The 16,556-nt window shown below is 48.8% G+C and overlaps 2 pseudogenes, besides 1 other annotated feature; both read left to right on the top strand.

The window, feature by feature from the left end:
- Positions 385 to 1,785, top strand: HMGA1P5 (high mobility group AT-hook 1 pseudogene 5; annotated as a pseudogene).
- RPL39P25 (ribosomal protein L39 pseudogene 25) lies at positions 7,327 to 7,721 on the top strand (annotated as a pseudogene).
- Positions 13,834 to 15,481: an enhancer, noted in NCBI's record as "VISTA enhancer hs1437". NCBI's record gives its function as "enhancer in: limb[4/4]" and the evidence as "EXISTENCE:transgenic organism evidence [ECO:0001131][PMID:17130149]".

The raw sequence follows: 16,556 nt of genomic DNA, 5'->3' as shown, positions 1-16,556 counted from the left end.
TAAAATGTAAAAGACTGACCATACCACGTGTTGGCGAGGATGTGGAGGAACTGGGCCTCGTACACTGATGCTAGGAATGTAAAACGATACCATCGCCTCTAATTGGGACTCCGAGCCCGGGCGATTTCTGGTGCTGGCGCGGCTCCAAGAAGGCACCCGCATGGGCCTCAGAACCCAGCACAGTTGCTCCCAGCCCCGCAGCGCGCACCGCAGGGAGGTCAGAGCTGGCGCATTCCCGCCACCACTCTTCCACCTGCTCGGTGGAGAAGGGCAGATGAGAGGGTCCAGGTCGAAATCTAGCCGGCCGTGGGCCTCCAACCAGGAAAAGGACTACACTGAGCAGTGGGGGCAGGGCAGGCCGCAGGCAGCCTCCGTAGGAGCCCGGCCAACACCTGGGAGACCCGGGGCCACCAAAGGGCAACAAAATCAGGGGCGCTGCTGACACCCGGAAACCCACCACAACTCCAGGAAGGAAACCAAGGGGCCGACCCAAAAAACCGGGAAGGAGGGAGAGGAGGGCATCGGAGTGCTCAGAGGAGGAGCAGCTTCCTCCTGGGCCTGGACTGCTCTGCTCGCTCACGCTGTCCCCTTCCTTCCCCCAGGCCCACCTCCCCACCGCTTCACCCTGCCCTCTCACCACCACCCCCTGCGCCGCGCAGCAGCCGCTGCAGGGCCCCTGCCGGTCGACTGGGGAGCAGTTCTCTGGCCTCAGCTCCCAGCCACCCCGCCAACCCATGCACACACTTGCGCCACACCTTGCGTCCCACTTAGCCACACCCTGCCCCTCCTGCGTCCCCACGCGCATGTCGGTACGGACATTGCTCTCTGGGCTTTTGGTTTGGGGACCCCCCGCTCTGCTTCTCCACTGTTCCCTTTGGTTTCCCAGAGAGGGGCCTGGGAGGGTTCCCTGGCCTTAAAAGGAGCCCAAGCCCCTCTTATTCTGGCGTACCCTACTCCACTGCCCTGGCAGCAACAGGTGTGGCCAGTGGAGGGGGACGCTTGGCCCCCAGGATGCTCCCAGCCAACTTGTGTCTTTGTCACCACGTGGAGCTCACACCTATTTTTCTTCCTTCCCTCCTTTTGCTAGTCCCTGCACTCCTTTGCACGGCCTGCTTTGGGGTACAGAAAGGAAGGCAGGAGGGGTTTGAGCCACCTACCCTTCTTCACAGGGGCCCCAGCCCCCTTGCCCTCAGTCTGGGATCCGAGTCTCTATTGCAGTGATGCAGATGCAGGGTCACCTATTGTCCAGGTGAGGCCCAGGCTGCCTGTGGCAGCCACCTGAGGTGAGCTGGGGCTGTGCCCCAACCCTACCTGCTTCCACCACTCAGCCTGTTTCTCCCTCCTCAGATGGGGTGCCAATAACAAAGAGCTCGGCCTTCGAGAGCGCCACCCCCAGGCTCCCGTTCACAAACTACCTCTGGACAGTTGTTTTTTGTTCAGTGTTTCATTCTTAACATCTATCACGGCTGCTGCTCCCAGAACCGAATGTCCATCCTCATTACCTCTTATTCTGCTCACATTCCCCTCCCCCAAGATAGTCTTCTCAGGCAAGAGGGGCTGCATGTGTCAGGCTGCTTATGAACCACCTCAGTCCCAGGGAAGATGGGCCCGGACCCTCAGATGCTGCAGCAGAGTGACAAAGGGGACTGAACTGAACATAGCAGGTACAGGAGCTGCCTTCCCCTGTTCTGCCAGGGTGTGAGTAGGTCCCAGGCCAGGGACCCCCTCTGGTTTCCTATTTGCAGTTACTTGAATTTTTAAAATATCCTTTTCTGGAAAAAAAAAGGATACAACCACTTTGGAAAACAATTTAACAGTGTCTTTAAATGTACATCTAACAGGCTGGACATGGTGGTGCACACCTGTAATCCCAGTTTCTTGGGAGGCTGAGGCAGGAGAATCTCTTGAACCTGGGAGGCAGAGGCTGCAGTAAGCCAAGATCACACTACTGCACTCCAGCCTGAGTGACAGAGCAAGACTCCATCTCGAAAAAAAAAAAAAAAAAAAAAAAAATATATATATATATATATATAATGATCCAGTCCACTGGTAGATATTTGCCTAAGAGAAATGAAAACTTATGTTCTCACAAAGATTTGTAGATGAATGTTTATAGCAGCTTTATTTGTAATAGACAAAAACTGGGAACAACCCAAATTTCCGTCAACAGATGAATGAATAAATATGTGTGAAAAGAACAAAGTGCCAAAGAGATATTTGTACACCCATGTCCAGAGCAGCATTATTCACATAGCCAAAAAGTGGCAGCACCCCAGGTGTCCACTCACAGATAAATGGATAAGAAAAATGTGGTGTATATATATATATATAATGGAATATTATTTAGCCTTAAAAAGGAAAGAAGTTCTGACACATGCCACAGCACAGATGAACCTGGAAGGCATTATGCTAAGTGAAATAAGCCAGACACAAAAAGACAAATACTGCATGATTCCACTTTTCTGAGGGACCTAGAGTAGTCAAATTCAGAGAGACAGAAAGTAGAATGGTGGTTGCTGGGGCTGGGGGGAAGGAGGACAGTGAGTTATCATTTAATGGGTTTAATCAGTTTTGCAAGAGGAAAAGAGTTATGTGGATAAATGGTGGCAATGGTTATACAAGAGTGTGGATATATTTAAGTGTATTAGACTAGACACTTAAAATGTTAAGATGGTAAATTTTATATTATCCGTATTTTACCACAATTAGCCCTCCACTGACCAGGCACAGTGGCTCATGCCTGTAATCCCAACACTTCGGGAAGCCGAGGCAGGCGGATCACCTAAGGTTGGGAGTTCGCAACCAGCCTGACCAACATGGAGAAACCCTGTCTCTACTAAAAATACAAAATTAGCCAGGCGTGGTGGTGCATGCCTGCAATCCCAGCTACTTGGGAGGCTGAGGCAGAAGAATCGCTTGAACCTGGGAGGCGGAGGTTGTGGTGAGCCAAGATTGTGCCATTGCACTCCAGCCTGGGCAACAAGAGCAAAACTCCATCTCAAAAAAAAAAAAAAAAAAATAGCCCTCCACGGCAGACATTTATGCTGCAAATGAGTTAGAGGAAAGTTAAGAAGTATTTTACACCAAAAAAAAATTTTTTTTGGCTGCGCGTGGTGACTCACACCTGTAATCCCAGCACTTTGAGAGGCTGAGGTGGGCAAATCACTTGAGATCAGGAGTTCAAGACCAGCCTGGCCAACATGGTGAAACCCCACTCTACTAAAAATACAAAAATTAGCCAGGCAGTGGTGCATGCCTGTAATCCCAGCTACTTGGGAGGTTGAGGCAGGAGAATCATTTGAACCCAGGAGGCAGAGGTTGCAGGGTTGCAATGAGTGTAGATCACACCATTGCACTCCAGCCCGGGCGAAAAAGCAAGACTCTGTCAAAAAAAAAAAAAAAATTAAATGCCGGGGAAAAAAGAGATTTCTTAGACCCTGAAAGAACCTAGACAGCTTCCTGGAGGAGGTGTCATTTGATTGAGATTCAGGAAGGAGAATAGGATTTACCTTGAGAACAGGAATTGGGTATCCCAGGCAAAGGACAGCTTGAGCAAAGGCCAGGAGGCTGGAGTGAACACTCTCCAGCCCAATCCAACCTCCTGGGGTCAGAGAGCTGGCATCCGAGGAACACCCTGAGTTGGGGGTATGAAGTTGAGAAGTAGATGGGGCCTACCCTCGAGGGCCTCCCAGCCTCCGCTGGAGAAGAGAGACATTTGTAAACATCACTCCCAACTAAGCCAGACCCACAGCGCCACAGCTCCATCATGATGGCCACTCGGGAAGGGAGAGACTTGAGGTCAGCTCTGGACAGTCATCAAAAAATAAACATGTCCCTGGACATTCAGGAAACGCCCAGCCGAAACTGTGTCCAGGCGGGGCTGTTTGCTTATTTGTGACTTTCCTGCTTTCCATCACCCTGTCAGTGGCCACCCTACCCCCATCCTCACTCTGATGCCCAGTCCAGCCTGGCCTCAGTCATTGGCTTCAGAAAAAAACCAGTTCCTATGGCCAGACATGGTGGCTTATGCCTGTAATCCTAGCACTTTGGGAGGCTGAGGCAGGAGGATCAATTGAGCTCAGAAGTTCAAGACCAGCTTGGGCAACATAGAGAGAACTCATCTCTTAAAAATAAAAAGAAAAAGAAAACCGGTTCCTGAGAAGACAGGCAGGAGAGGAAGCAGCACAGTACGTGTGGGGTCGGTGGGTGAGTGTTGTGTCAGTGCATTTGCACACACATAGGTCTGGCCATGTGTGTGATGGAATGCAGGTGTGTTTGCCCACATGTGCAGGCATGGGTCTGTGTGTACGTGTGTGCACAAGTGTGTGTCGTACTATGGTAGGTGGGGGTCTGGATGAAGCAGTGTGGACTCTGGGCCCAGCTGGACTGGGTTGAAATCTAACTCCAACAAGTTACTTTGCCTTTCTCTGCCTCAGTTTCTACATTTGCTAAATGGAGAAAATAATATTACTGGTCTCACAGCTGTTGTAAGGATTGAAATGATTCAAGAAGGCATTTGATCAATGGTGCTGGTGCACAGAAAGTGCTTAATAAGTGTTAGCATTAACATTTGTCATGTATCCATGTGCATATGCGTGAGAGAGATGGGATGTGTATGCGTGTGTGCACACATGTGGGTTATGAGTACGGACATGTGGGCAGCTTTGCAGAGACTGCATGAGCACCTCGAGGGTACATGTGCTGGGATTCTGGAAACAGCTGCCACAAGCAGCCTGGTGCCCTCCAAGGAGCCCAGGACAACCCTCACCATAGAGGAAAGCCAGTTCTTTGGGCAGCCTCCTTCCCCGCAGCCCTCTGCCCTGAGGAGGAGGCCCCAAGCGTTGGTCTGATTTCTTCTTTCTTTGGGCTGCTCAAGTCTTTTGTTGTCTTTCCATTTCCTCAGGCTGCAAGAGTGTGGAGATTTTTTTCTATCAAAGGCCAGTGACCTCCAAAAGAAATCAAGCAGGGGTTATATGCAAAAATCAACTTAATCTGGGGTCTGTTTTTCCTTGAAAAATAACAAAGGAACTCAACTCCTCTGCTTTTTAAATCAAGAACAGTAAATGGCACCAATGCTTAAAAAAAAAAAAGTTCTCATATTATATATTATGTGAAATTGCTTTATAAAGGGTAAAGCACTTTACAGATGTGAGGAAGTCTTATCCTTTCAGAGGCAAAGCGCACCCCACCAGGGCAAGGGAGGAGCCAGTAAAGGGGGAAAGAGAGATTAAAAGGAAAAGCCATCAGCCTGGTACTGGGTGGTTCGTCGGGTATCCAACCTTCAATACTGATAAACAGACAACCATGTTGAACTGCTCTGATTCACAAACCTTTAGAATTTAAATTCTAGATGGGGGGCCGGGCGTGGTGGCTCACGCCTGTAATCCCAGCACTTTGAGAGGCCGAGGCAGGCAGATCACGAGGTCAGGAGATTGAGACCATCCTGGCTAACATGGTGAAACCTCGTCTCTACTAAAAATACAAAAAATTAGCCGGGTGAGGTGGCGGGTGCCTGTAGTCCCAGCTACTTGGGAGGCTGAGGCAGGAGACTGGCGTGAACCCGGGGGGCGGAGCCTGCAGTGAGCCAAGATCACGCCACTGCACTCCAGCCTGGGCGACAGAGCGAGACTCCATCTCAAACAAAAAAAAAAAAAAAAAAAGAATTTAAATTCTAGATGGAAACACAGTGGGCTTTGGACTCAGGCTGGCCTGGATTCAAGTCCCAGCTTTGCTGTCACCAGCAAGGCCACTGCATTAAACACTGTGTCCCTGGAGTTGTGCAACCCAGGGACCCGCTGACCAGTTATGTGAATTGAGCTGTAGTTGGATCAGTGGTGACCCCCACAAAAGATATGTCTGTGTCCTAATCCCAGAACCTGTGAATATTACCTTCTATGGTGAAAGATGCGAATAATCAAATGACTTAAGAAGAGTTTATCCTGGTTTATCTATGTGGTTCGTAAATACAATGACAAGTGTCCTTATGAGAGGAGGCAGAGAACAATTGGAGACAGACAAGAAGAGAAGACGTGGACACACAGAGGAGAAGGTGATGTGAAGACAGAGGCAGAGATTGGAGTGATGCAGCCACAAGCCCAGGAATGCCAGGGCTACCAGAAACTGGAAGAGCATAGGAAAGGATTCTCCCCTAAAGCCGCTGGAAGGAGTAGAACCGGGCTGACACCTTCATTTCAGACTTCTAGCCTCCAGAACTGTAAGAGAATAAATTTCTGTTGTTTTAAGCCTCCCAATTTGTGGCAATTTGTTACAGCAACCACAGGAAGATAACACCAGGGGAAAGTAGTGAATTTCTCTAAATCTGGGAATAGTGATCACTCCTCTCTCCTAGACGTTTTATCGAGGATAAAATAAGGAATGCACAGGCCAGGCATGGTGGCTCACAGCTGTAATCCCAGTGCCTTGGGAGGCCAAAGTGGGAGGATGACTTGAGCCCAGGAATTTGAGACCAGCCTGGGCAACATAGTGACACCCCATCTCTACAAAAAAAATTTTTAAGTAACCAGACCTGTTGGCGTGCCCCTGTGGTCCCAGCTACTCGGGAGGCTTGAGCTCAGGAGTTTGACGCTGCAGTGAGCTATGATCACACCACTGCACTCAAGCCTGGGCAACAGAGTAAGAGACCCTGTCTCTAAAAAAAAAAAAAAAAAAAAATTCATTCCTGAAGGGCCTTGGGGGAAAAATTCAAAAGAAAAAGAAAAAAAAGTTAGATAGGCAGATGAATGTACAGTTAGCTGTGGAGCTCGGAGGTCCTGTTTGAAGATTCAGGGAGGCAATGTTAACCCTTCAGTTGTGTCCCAGAATGCTATGTGCTGGGGATTCATGGTGAGCAGGACTCAGTATCTGCACCACAACGACAGTTTTGAGCTTTATGTCTGAGGCCTCACAGCCTGAGTATCAGCTTTCCTCACCTCCTGACTCCTGGCAACAGTCTAGAGTTGTCCAGTTTCCTTGTCTCTAAATGTCCACCAATATCCATTCTACCCATTTCTTCCTTTTAGGAACAGCAACTGCTGAACTCAGCAGGACTTACTGCTATCCAACTAGAGACTTCATTTCACAGCCTCCCTTGCAGCTGGGGGAGGGGGTGGCCATCTACGTAAGTCCTGACCAATGGGGTGTGAGAGGAAGTGATGACGCTCTTGAAAGGAAGCTGCTTGGGGGCCCCGGCCAGAAATCTCCAAGGTGGATAGGGGAGAAGCCCTTCTAGCCTCGCAGATGAAGGGGGTCTAGTGCTGTGCTGCCAGATACTGGAGATACTAGCCACGTGTGGCTACTTAAATTAATAAAAGTTAAATAAAATTTAAGCTCTTCCTTTCTCCGCCATCATGGTGTGTGAAGTTGACTGTTTCTCGCCATGTCTTCTCACAAGACTTTTCAGGGTCAGGTGATTCCTGGCCAAGAAACAAAAGCAAAATCGTCCCATTCCCCAGTGGATTCAGATGAAAACTGGTAATAAAATCAGGCACAACTCCAAGACGAGACATTGGAGAAGAACCAAGCTAGGCCTGCAAGGAATTGCACATGAGATGGCACACATATTAATGCTGGGTCAAGGTCACTATCTTACACTATCAAGCTGACAAGGTCACCACTATCTAGACAGTCAGACATGTTTGATTGAGAAAATGTGTTTTCTCTTTGTTTATATGTGCTGCACTAGTAGGCTGGTTCAGAAATAAATATGTGAAACCCTTTTGTTTGAATAAATAAATCAATAGTAAAATTTAAATAAAATGTAAACCTCAATTTCTCAGTCACATTGGCCACGTTTTAAGTGCTCACTGGACATGTGGCTATTGGCTGCTGTACTGGACAGCCAGATAGAGAACATTTCCATCATCACAGAAGGTTCTATTGGACAGCACTGTCCTAGAGAATGTACAACAGCAAGAAAGAAGGAGGCTGGGTTCCTGGACAAATTTGAGGAGCAGCCTTCCCTGCTCCAACTGCCTATCATCTTATATTTTTACTCTCTTGAAAAGAGAGAAATAAACCCTCTATCAATGCAGCCAAACCAATATCCTAACAAATACTTCCAAAAAAATTTGACTGGGTGTGGTGGCTCACGCCTGTAATCCCAGCACTTTGGGAGGCCGAGGCGGGCAGATCACAAGGTCAGGAGATGGAGACCATCCTGGCTAACATGGTGAAACCCCGTCTCTACTAAAAATACAAAAAATTAGCCGGGCGTGGTGGCAGGCGCCTGTAGTCCCAGCTACTCGGGAGGCTGAGGCAGGAGAATGGCGTGAATCCAGGTGGAGCTTGCAGTGAGCTGAGATCGCGCCACTGCACTCCAGCCTGGGTGACAGAGTGAGACTCCATCTCAAAAAAAAAAAAAAAAAAAAAAGAAAATTCAAACTGTGAGAAACTCTTCCTAACAAACAATCCATTTCTTTAACAAATCAACCTCAAGAAGAAGAAAAAATAGAGGAGAAACTTATAGTTTGAAAAAGAGATATATTAACTAACAATGTGAAGGCCTTATTTAGATCCTCATTCATACATACTAGATTTTTGTTAAAGAACTGTTTATGAAACATTTGGAAAGTTGGACAATGCCTGAATATTTGATTATCTTAAGTGCTATTAGTTCTTTTAGGCATAACAATATTTTAAGATAAAATGACATAATGTGCAGGATTTACTCAATATAATCTGGGAAGGGAGAAATGAGCGGGGATGTGGATTAAAAAATATTGGCCAAGAGTTGATCCTTGTTGAAGCTGGGCAATAAATACACAGGGATTTATTACACTATTCTCTTTCTGTCTTGAAATTTGAAAGCTACTTTTTGACTTTTTTTTTTAAAGAATCCTTTGACATCTGTATCTATTTGAAATTTTCTAAAAAAAAAATTTTTTTCTTTTGAGACAGAGTCACGCTCTGTCACCCAGATTGGAGTGAAGTGGCACGATCTTGGCTCACTGCAATCTCTGCCTCTCAGGTTCAAGCAATTCTCCTGCCTCAGCCTCCCTAGTAGCTGGGATTACAGGCACCCGCTACCATGCTCAGCTAATTATTGTATTTTTAGTAGAGACAGGGTTTCACCATGTTGGCCAGGGTGGTCTCAAACTCCTGACCTCAGGTGATCTGCCCACCTTGGCTTCCCAAAGTTCTGGGATTACAGGCATGAGCCACCACACCCAGTCAAATTTTCTAAAATAATTCAAAAAAATATAATTCACCACTGGCTGGGTGTAGTGGATCACACCTATAATCCCAGCAGTTTGGGAGGCTGAGGCATGCAGATCACTTGAGCTCAGGAGTTCAACACCAGCCTGGGCAACGTGCAAAATCCCATCTCTACAAAAAAGTACAAAACCTAGCCTGGCATGATGGCACACACCTGTAGTCCAGCTACTCAGGAGGCTGAGGTGGGAGGATCATTTGACCCTGGGAGGTGGAGGTTGCAGCGAGCCCAGATTACACCACTGTACTCCAGCCTGGGCAACAGAGCCAGATCCTCTCAAAAAATTAAAAATTATATATATATATATAATTCACCACATACAAAATTTCAGAGCGCAACTCAAGACAACTGAATCAAGGCAGATTTCCATGCCTGCTTTCCCCCACCACCCCCAGCACCACCTCCCCATGCTCCAGTCAGGCCACTGCTCCTATCCCTTTCCTGTGGTGATTTTATTTCAAGGACCTCAATAGCTTTCCCTGTCACCGGGTCTTTTTGTTGTCGTTTTAATAACTGCTCAGTGAAATATAATCCACATATCATATGATTCACCCATTTAAAGTATACAATTCAATGGTTCTTGGAGTAGTCACAGATATGTGCAATCCTTACCACCGTCAATTTATTTTTTTATTTTTTTTTGATACGGAGTCTTGCTCTGTCGCCAAGGCTGGAGTGCAGTGGTTCAATCTCATCTCACTGCAACCTCCACCTCCTGGGTTCCAGCAATTCTCCTGCCTCAGCCTCCTGAGTAGCTGGGATTACAGGCATGCGCCACCATGCGCAGCTAATTTTTGTATTATTAGTAGAGACAGGGTTTTGCCATGTTGGCCAGGCTGGTCTTGAACTCCTGACCTCAGGTGATCCACCAGTCTCTGCCTCCCAAAGTGCTGGGAGGCGTGAGCCACCACGCCCAGCCCACCATCAATTTTAGAATATTGCCACAGTCTTTATCAGACACACACTCCGACAGTTCTTAATACCTTCCAAACTTACACAAAAGGAGTTGGAGTCTTGATCCTTTCTCTCCCAGGAGACCCCTCTACCTTCTCTCCCAGGTAGACCTTCTCTACCAGTTCTCTTGCAATGATACACATTCCATGTACCATCCACCTTACATACATACAGTAATGTCCCCTCACTGGTCACCCTACCACAGAATAATGAATGATGGCCTTCCAGGCGCAGGCCCAGCATGAGCAAAGACCTGAAGGCATGAAGCTATGAGTGCAGGGGATCTCCAAGAACCTGAAGTCATTCAAAGGTGAAAGAGGGAGGAAGCAGGAGATGGAGAAATCCTAGCTGGCTAAGGAGACTGGACCCAAGCAAGCCCACAACACTGTAGGGGTTGCAGGTGTCCCTGCCCAGGGGGGTGGAGCCACTTGCCTCAGGAGGAAAGTCCCGTGCCCCCGGCACCCTTTTCCTGTCCTCGGCCCCTCTCCCAAGGCCTGCACATCACACAGGCCCAGGAGCCACACCTTTTAAAGCAGGAGTTTTCTTTATTCAAAGAAAAGAGATGTTTTCACCGCGGCAGGCCAGCTAGGAGCCCCCTCTCCTTCCCGTCCTCCCTTCTCAGGGAATCAATCTTCTTAAACCTCATCTTCCTAGAGACCATCTGGAGAAAACCGTTCAGGAAACTCAGCCGGGTACTAAGCCCACAGCTCCCATCCATCTTGCCCTGTCAGAGCCCAGCACTGGGGCCTTAAAGAATCCTTATAGCTGGGGCTGCCATAAGGCTCCTGGCCACAGGAGCAGGCCCTACTTGTGCTCACAGCTGTACCTTCCAGACATCTGCCCCCCGCCCCACCCCCCCAATGCCTCTGAACCCCTGGTCCTGCTCTGCTGGTGTCCCTCAGCTGTAACATCCAGAGACGTCATGTGGTAGTGTGGAACCTGGCTCTGTCGCGTGACTTTGGCCAAGTAACCTGACCTCCCTGAGTCTTGTCCCAATCAGTAAAATTGGGGTTGATAACACCCTCCTTGAGAAGCTGTGGTAAGGATTAAATGAGATAATGTAATTTAAAATGATTCTCCTAATTCGAAAATTAGCCGGGCGTGGTGGCAGATGCCTGTAATCCCAGCTACTTGGGATGCTGAGGCAGGAGAATCGCTTAAACCTGGGAGGCAGAGGTTGCAGTGAGCCAAGATCGCACCACAGCACTCCAGCCTGGGTGACGAGAGTGAAACTGTCTCAAAAAAATAAATAAATAAGCCAGCTGCAGTGGCTCACGCCTGTAATCCCAGCACTTTGGGAGGCCGAGGCAGGCGGATCACCTGAGGTCATGAGTTCGAGACCAGCCTGACCAACATGGTGAAACCCCATCTCTACTAAAAATACAAAATTAGCCGGGCGTGGTGGTGCGTGCCTGTAATCCCAGATACTCAGGAGGCTGAGGCAGGAGAATTGCTTGAACCTGGGAGGCAGAGGTTGCAGTGAGCCGAGATCGCGCCACTACCCTCCAGCCTGGGCAACAAGAGTGAAACTCCATCTCTAAATAAATAAATAAAATAAAATAAAATAATTCTCCTTGTTTATTCTGCTCCAGCCACCCTGGCATTGTTGTTCTCAAACTCACCAGCCATCCTCCCACCTCAGGGCCCAGGCACTTGCCATTCCCTGTGCCTGGAAACTCCCTGGATGGCTAGCCACAGCTCATATGTTACCTTCTCGGAGAGGCCTCCCTGATCAGGCTATCTACAATAGATCCCTGCTCCTTCAGGCCCATCCTTTCCTCTCCCTTACTCTGCTTTAACGTTCTTCAAAGTTCCTAATGCTACCTGACACGTTACAGAGTGATGTGCTGTTGCCTGCCCATCCTCTCCACTGGAATGTCAGTTCAGTGAGGGCAGGGACCTCGTCTGTGTTGTTCCCTGCCATAGCCCTAGTGCTAGGACAGTGCCAGGCATGTAATAGGTGTTCAGCAGATATTTAACGAATGAAAGAATAAATGACTGCCTGCATGAACAAGTCACCTTGCACAGTGCCTGGACCACCACAGGGGCTCAGCAAATAGGAGTTTTTTTGTTTGTTTGTATGTTTGAGACAGAGTCTTATTCTGTCGCCCAGGCTGGAGTGCAGTGGTGCAATCTCGGCTCACTGCAACCTCCGCCTCCCGAGTTCAAGCGATTCTCCTGCCTCAGCCTCCTAAGTAGCTGGGATTACAGACACCTGCCACCAAGCCCTGCTAATTTTTGTATTTTTTGTAAAGACAGGGTTCACCATGTTGGCCAGGCTGGTCTTGAACTCCTGACCTCAAGTGATCTGCCCTCCTCGGCTCTCAAAATGCTGGAATTACAGGCATAAGCTACCGCACTCGTCCAGCAAATAGTTTTTTTTGTTTCTAATTTGGAGATGCTGAGAGAGGCACAGAGCGGGCTTGGACTGGGCTTCTGGGAACAGGTGGAGCTGAAAAGAAGAACTTAGATGAGACCCAATGCTACCCACAGCCTGTTCTGAGGTCAAACACCACCGGGCATGACATTTAGTTAAAAGCGGGGCTTCGCCGTCAGAGAACTCCCTGGCCTGAGTGGGGCCTCCAGCCCTGCCATTGCAAGCCCTGCTCTCCAATGTCCAATGAGCTGGGTCAGAATAGGTAAGGGGATTGGGATGGGCCTGTTCCTGAGACTGGACAGACTCCTCCACCCTCACCTGGGCAAGGTGCCCAGCTGGCCCCAGCAATGGGATTGATAAGAGGCTCTCTGTCTCTGCTGCCTGACTAGTCACCAGGACAGAGTTTGCAGTAGACCTCTAGGCTGGGTATGGAATGAGATTAGGCCCCAGCCAGAGGAACTACAGGACAAGGTCATGAGTCTGTAGCCCTGAACTGTGCCACTGAGGCCTGGCATATCCCAATTCAGAACAAGATGGGCTCCAGCATTATGGAAGAAAGCCCAGGTTCATCCCCTTAACTGTGTAACTTCTGGCAAATCACTCAAACTCTCTGAGCCTCAGTTTCCCCACCTGTCAGGGGGAAATAATAATATCTACTGTAAGATGTTGATGGGATGATTATTAAGAATAATAATAGTTACCACTTACTAGCTCTTTGCTATGTGTGTTTGGGGGCAGGGGTTGTTACAATATCTCATTTGATCCTCAAAAACTCCCTAATGTTAGATGCTTCTATTTTGGTTTTTTGTTTGATTGGTTGGTTTTTTGTTTTTTTTTTTAGATGGAGTCTGGCTCTGTTGCCCAGGCTGGCGCACAGTGGCACTATCTTGCCTCACTACAACCTCTGCCTCCCAGGTTCAAGTGATTCTCCTGCCTCAGCCTCCCAAGTAGCTAGGATTACAGATTCGTGCTACCACACCCAGCTAATTTTTTGTACTTTTTAGTAGAGACTGGGTTTCACCATGCTGGCCAGGCTGGTCTTGAACTCCTGAGCTCAGGCAATCCACCTGCTTCAGCCTCCCAAAGTGCTGGGATTACAGGCATGAGCCACCGCACTGGCCCTATTTTGTTTTTTAAAGATGAGGAAATCAAGGTTCAGAGAGGGTAGTGATCAGCCCAGAGACACACAGCTCAGAAGAATCAAAGCAAAACTGAATTCATGTCTGCGGGTTGCAAAGCCCTATGTTAACCACCATCTAGAAAATGTACTTAAACCCCAGCACCTGGCCAGGCACAACCAGACCCCAAATAACTGTGAATATTTTTCTCCTTCCCTGAGCTTCAGGTCTGGGGGCAGGTGAGCACGGCTGTAAGGACTGGAGGGACAAGGAGCCAGGTGGCCCTTACACTGGGTTGAGGCTACAGCAACGGCCCCACCCTAGCCCCAGCCAAGCACAAGCAGCCTGGGCTGGTTTTCCCGGTCTTGACACCTCCTCCCTGGCCAGGGCAGGCTGAGGTCACCCGAGTAGAGGAAGTTCAGCCAGGTGAGCCTGCTGCTTCCTCACAGCTTTTCCACTCACCTTTTGGCCAGGAATTCCCCGGAGCCCCTGCCCAGGGCCTGCGAGGTTACGCCACCATCCGAGCTGCTCCCTCAAAAGGGGACAGCCTAATTCACGCATGACCCACACCAATAAATCAGGGAGGGGCGGGGGGGTGGGGACACTCATAAATCCATATCAAACAGTCCCCAAATTATGACAGATGACATGGCAGTCATAAAATTGCACAAGCAAAACTCACCAAGTCATTAATTTCATGGCCGCAGAAAATAAACAGACACATTTTCTCGCGGCCCTAATAAATTTTTAAAAACTCAAAGAATGGTCCATCTGCTTCGAATAATTTTTAATTTCCTATTCTGTCTCATTCCCATTAGCTATTCCACTGAGATATTTGCTAAATTCTTTCATTTACCTCCTCCCATCTGTATTCAATTACCCTGTTCCCAAATAGAGTGAGTTTTTGTTTCTCCTATGTGCGGGACAAAATACCCCCACCTGTACCTTAAAGCAAATGTTATGTGTGTTTTATTATCTGTTAGACCATATGAGTCATTCTAACTCGATTGCCTGTGCGGAAAGGCTTGGAGAGCAATGTGATTTTGATGTTTTCTGGCTTGGTTGGAAAACACCTGCCCGATTCTCAAAGCTAATCTATTAACGTGGTAAATGCTGTAGCAGATGTTCCTGAGTGAGCGAGGGGCTGCGCCGGGCTATGACCGGGCCCGACGTGTCGGGTGCACTATGGAAATGTTCAAAGATCAGAGGCCAGCAGCGCCACTGGGGGCCGAGCTGTAACGAAGTCACATTTTCCGCTGGCCCCCGGGCTCTGGCTGCCTGGAGGCTCCCCGCTGCCTCCGTGGGCTCTCAGCAGCCACTGGAGCTGGCAGGATATTTCAAGGTCATCTGGTCCACCCCACCCCCATGTTTTACAGAAGACAGACTGAGGCCCAGAGAGGAGGTATGCCTTGCCCAGAGTCACACAGCATACTGAAAAAGGAGAGCACCCTTAGAGGTCAGAGGTGGGTACAGAAAGCTGAGACTTGTTTTATGGAGCTGAGATGGAGGGAGGGAGAGGAAGAGAATTCTATGGGCACTTCCTTCCCCTAATGCCTTCTACCCAGCAAACAAGATCATTTAGAGATTTTCAATCTGAAATTCTCCAAGGCCATCTTTCCTCATTCTGCAGCAGTTGGGCCAGGCCTGTGACAGAGCACAGAACCAAGAATCAGCCAAGGAGCCAACGGCTTGCCCAGGGTTAGGTTGGTTTCAACACTGTATGCCCTGGCACATGCAATGCTCCTTTTGCAAAGCCCCAGGAACACGGGCTTCCAGGCTGAGCTGCAAATCTTAGGAGGAATCATGGTCTCCAATGCTACGCATGGCAAGATCCATGTAGCTGCACTATGAGTGCCCACACCCCCTCAGTCCTCAATATTTCCATACACACTGGTGGCTTCATACTATGGGTGCCTACAATACTGCCTGAGAGCTCCCTCTGGCCTGGGATCATGTTCAGTCAACCCTCAGGACAAGCTAGAGGTGCTAGGGACTTGATGCCCACAAAGCAGCCCTAAAACAATGACGAATGGGAGTTGGAGTATAAATACCCCAGCTCCCTCACCTCATGGATGGGACAATTCTGAGACATGTCCTACATCAGTGGTTCTCAATCTGAGATGATTTTGGACTCCCGGGGACATTTGGCAATATCTGAGACATTTTGGTTGAGTCGTTGCTATTGGCATCCAGAGGGTAGAGGTCAGGATGCTGCTAAACTTCCTACTGTGCACATGACAGCCCCCTGTAACACAGAACCATCCAGCCCAGGACGGGTACAGTCGCTCATGCCTGTAATCCTAACACTTTGGGAGGGCAAGTCAGGCGAATTGCTTGAGGCCAGGAATTTGAGACCAGCCTGGCCAACATGATGAAACCTCATCTCTACTAAAAATACAAAAATTAGCCATGCATGGTGGCACACACCTGTAATCCCAGCTACTTGGGATGCCGAGGCACAAGAGTTGCTTGAACCCAGGAGGTAAAAGTTGCAGTGAGCTGAGATCACTGCACTCCGGCCTGGGCGACAGAGCAAGACTCTGTCTCCAAGACATTTGGCCCAAAATGTCAGTAGGGCCAAGGTTGAGAAGCCTTGTTCTATACCCTCTCCCAGAGGGACTGAGCCTCAGATGCCCACAGTGATGCCCTGCTCATTTAGGCACACTCTCCTGATTTTCTCCCACCCCCCACCCAGCTCACTTCCCCACTGCCCTACCAGCGTCTCCTGGGCCTACATCCCACAAAACTATTTTCCCTCAAATCTTCATCTCAGGGTCTGCTTCCTGGAGGACCCAACCTAAGATCATCCATTACTACAGTCATGGTGACAATCTTAGAAGGGTCTCAAAAGCCTGGGTTTCTATTTCAGCTATCTAGACTCTGAATACACATGTTC

Source organism: Homo sapiens, chromosome 10, assembly GCF_000001405.40.
Source record: "Homo sapiens chromosome 10, GRCh38.p14 Primary Assembly".
Classification (NCBI taxonomy): domain Eukaryota; kingdom Metazoa; phylum Chordata; class Mammalia; order Primates; family Hominidae; genus Homo; species Homo sapiens.
Note: the sequence above shows the minus strand (reverse complement) of the source record. Positions and strands in the feature narration are given on the sequence as shown.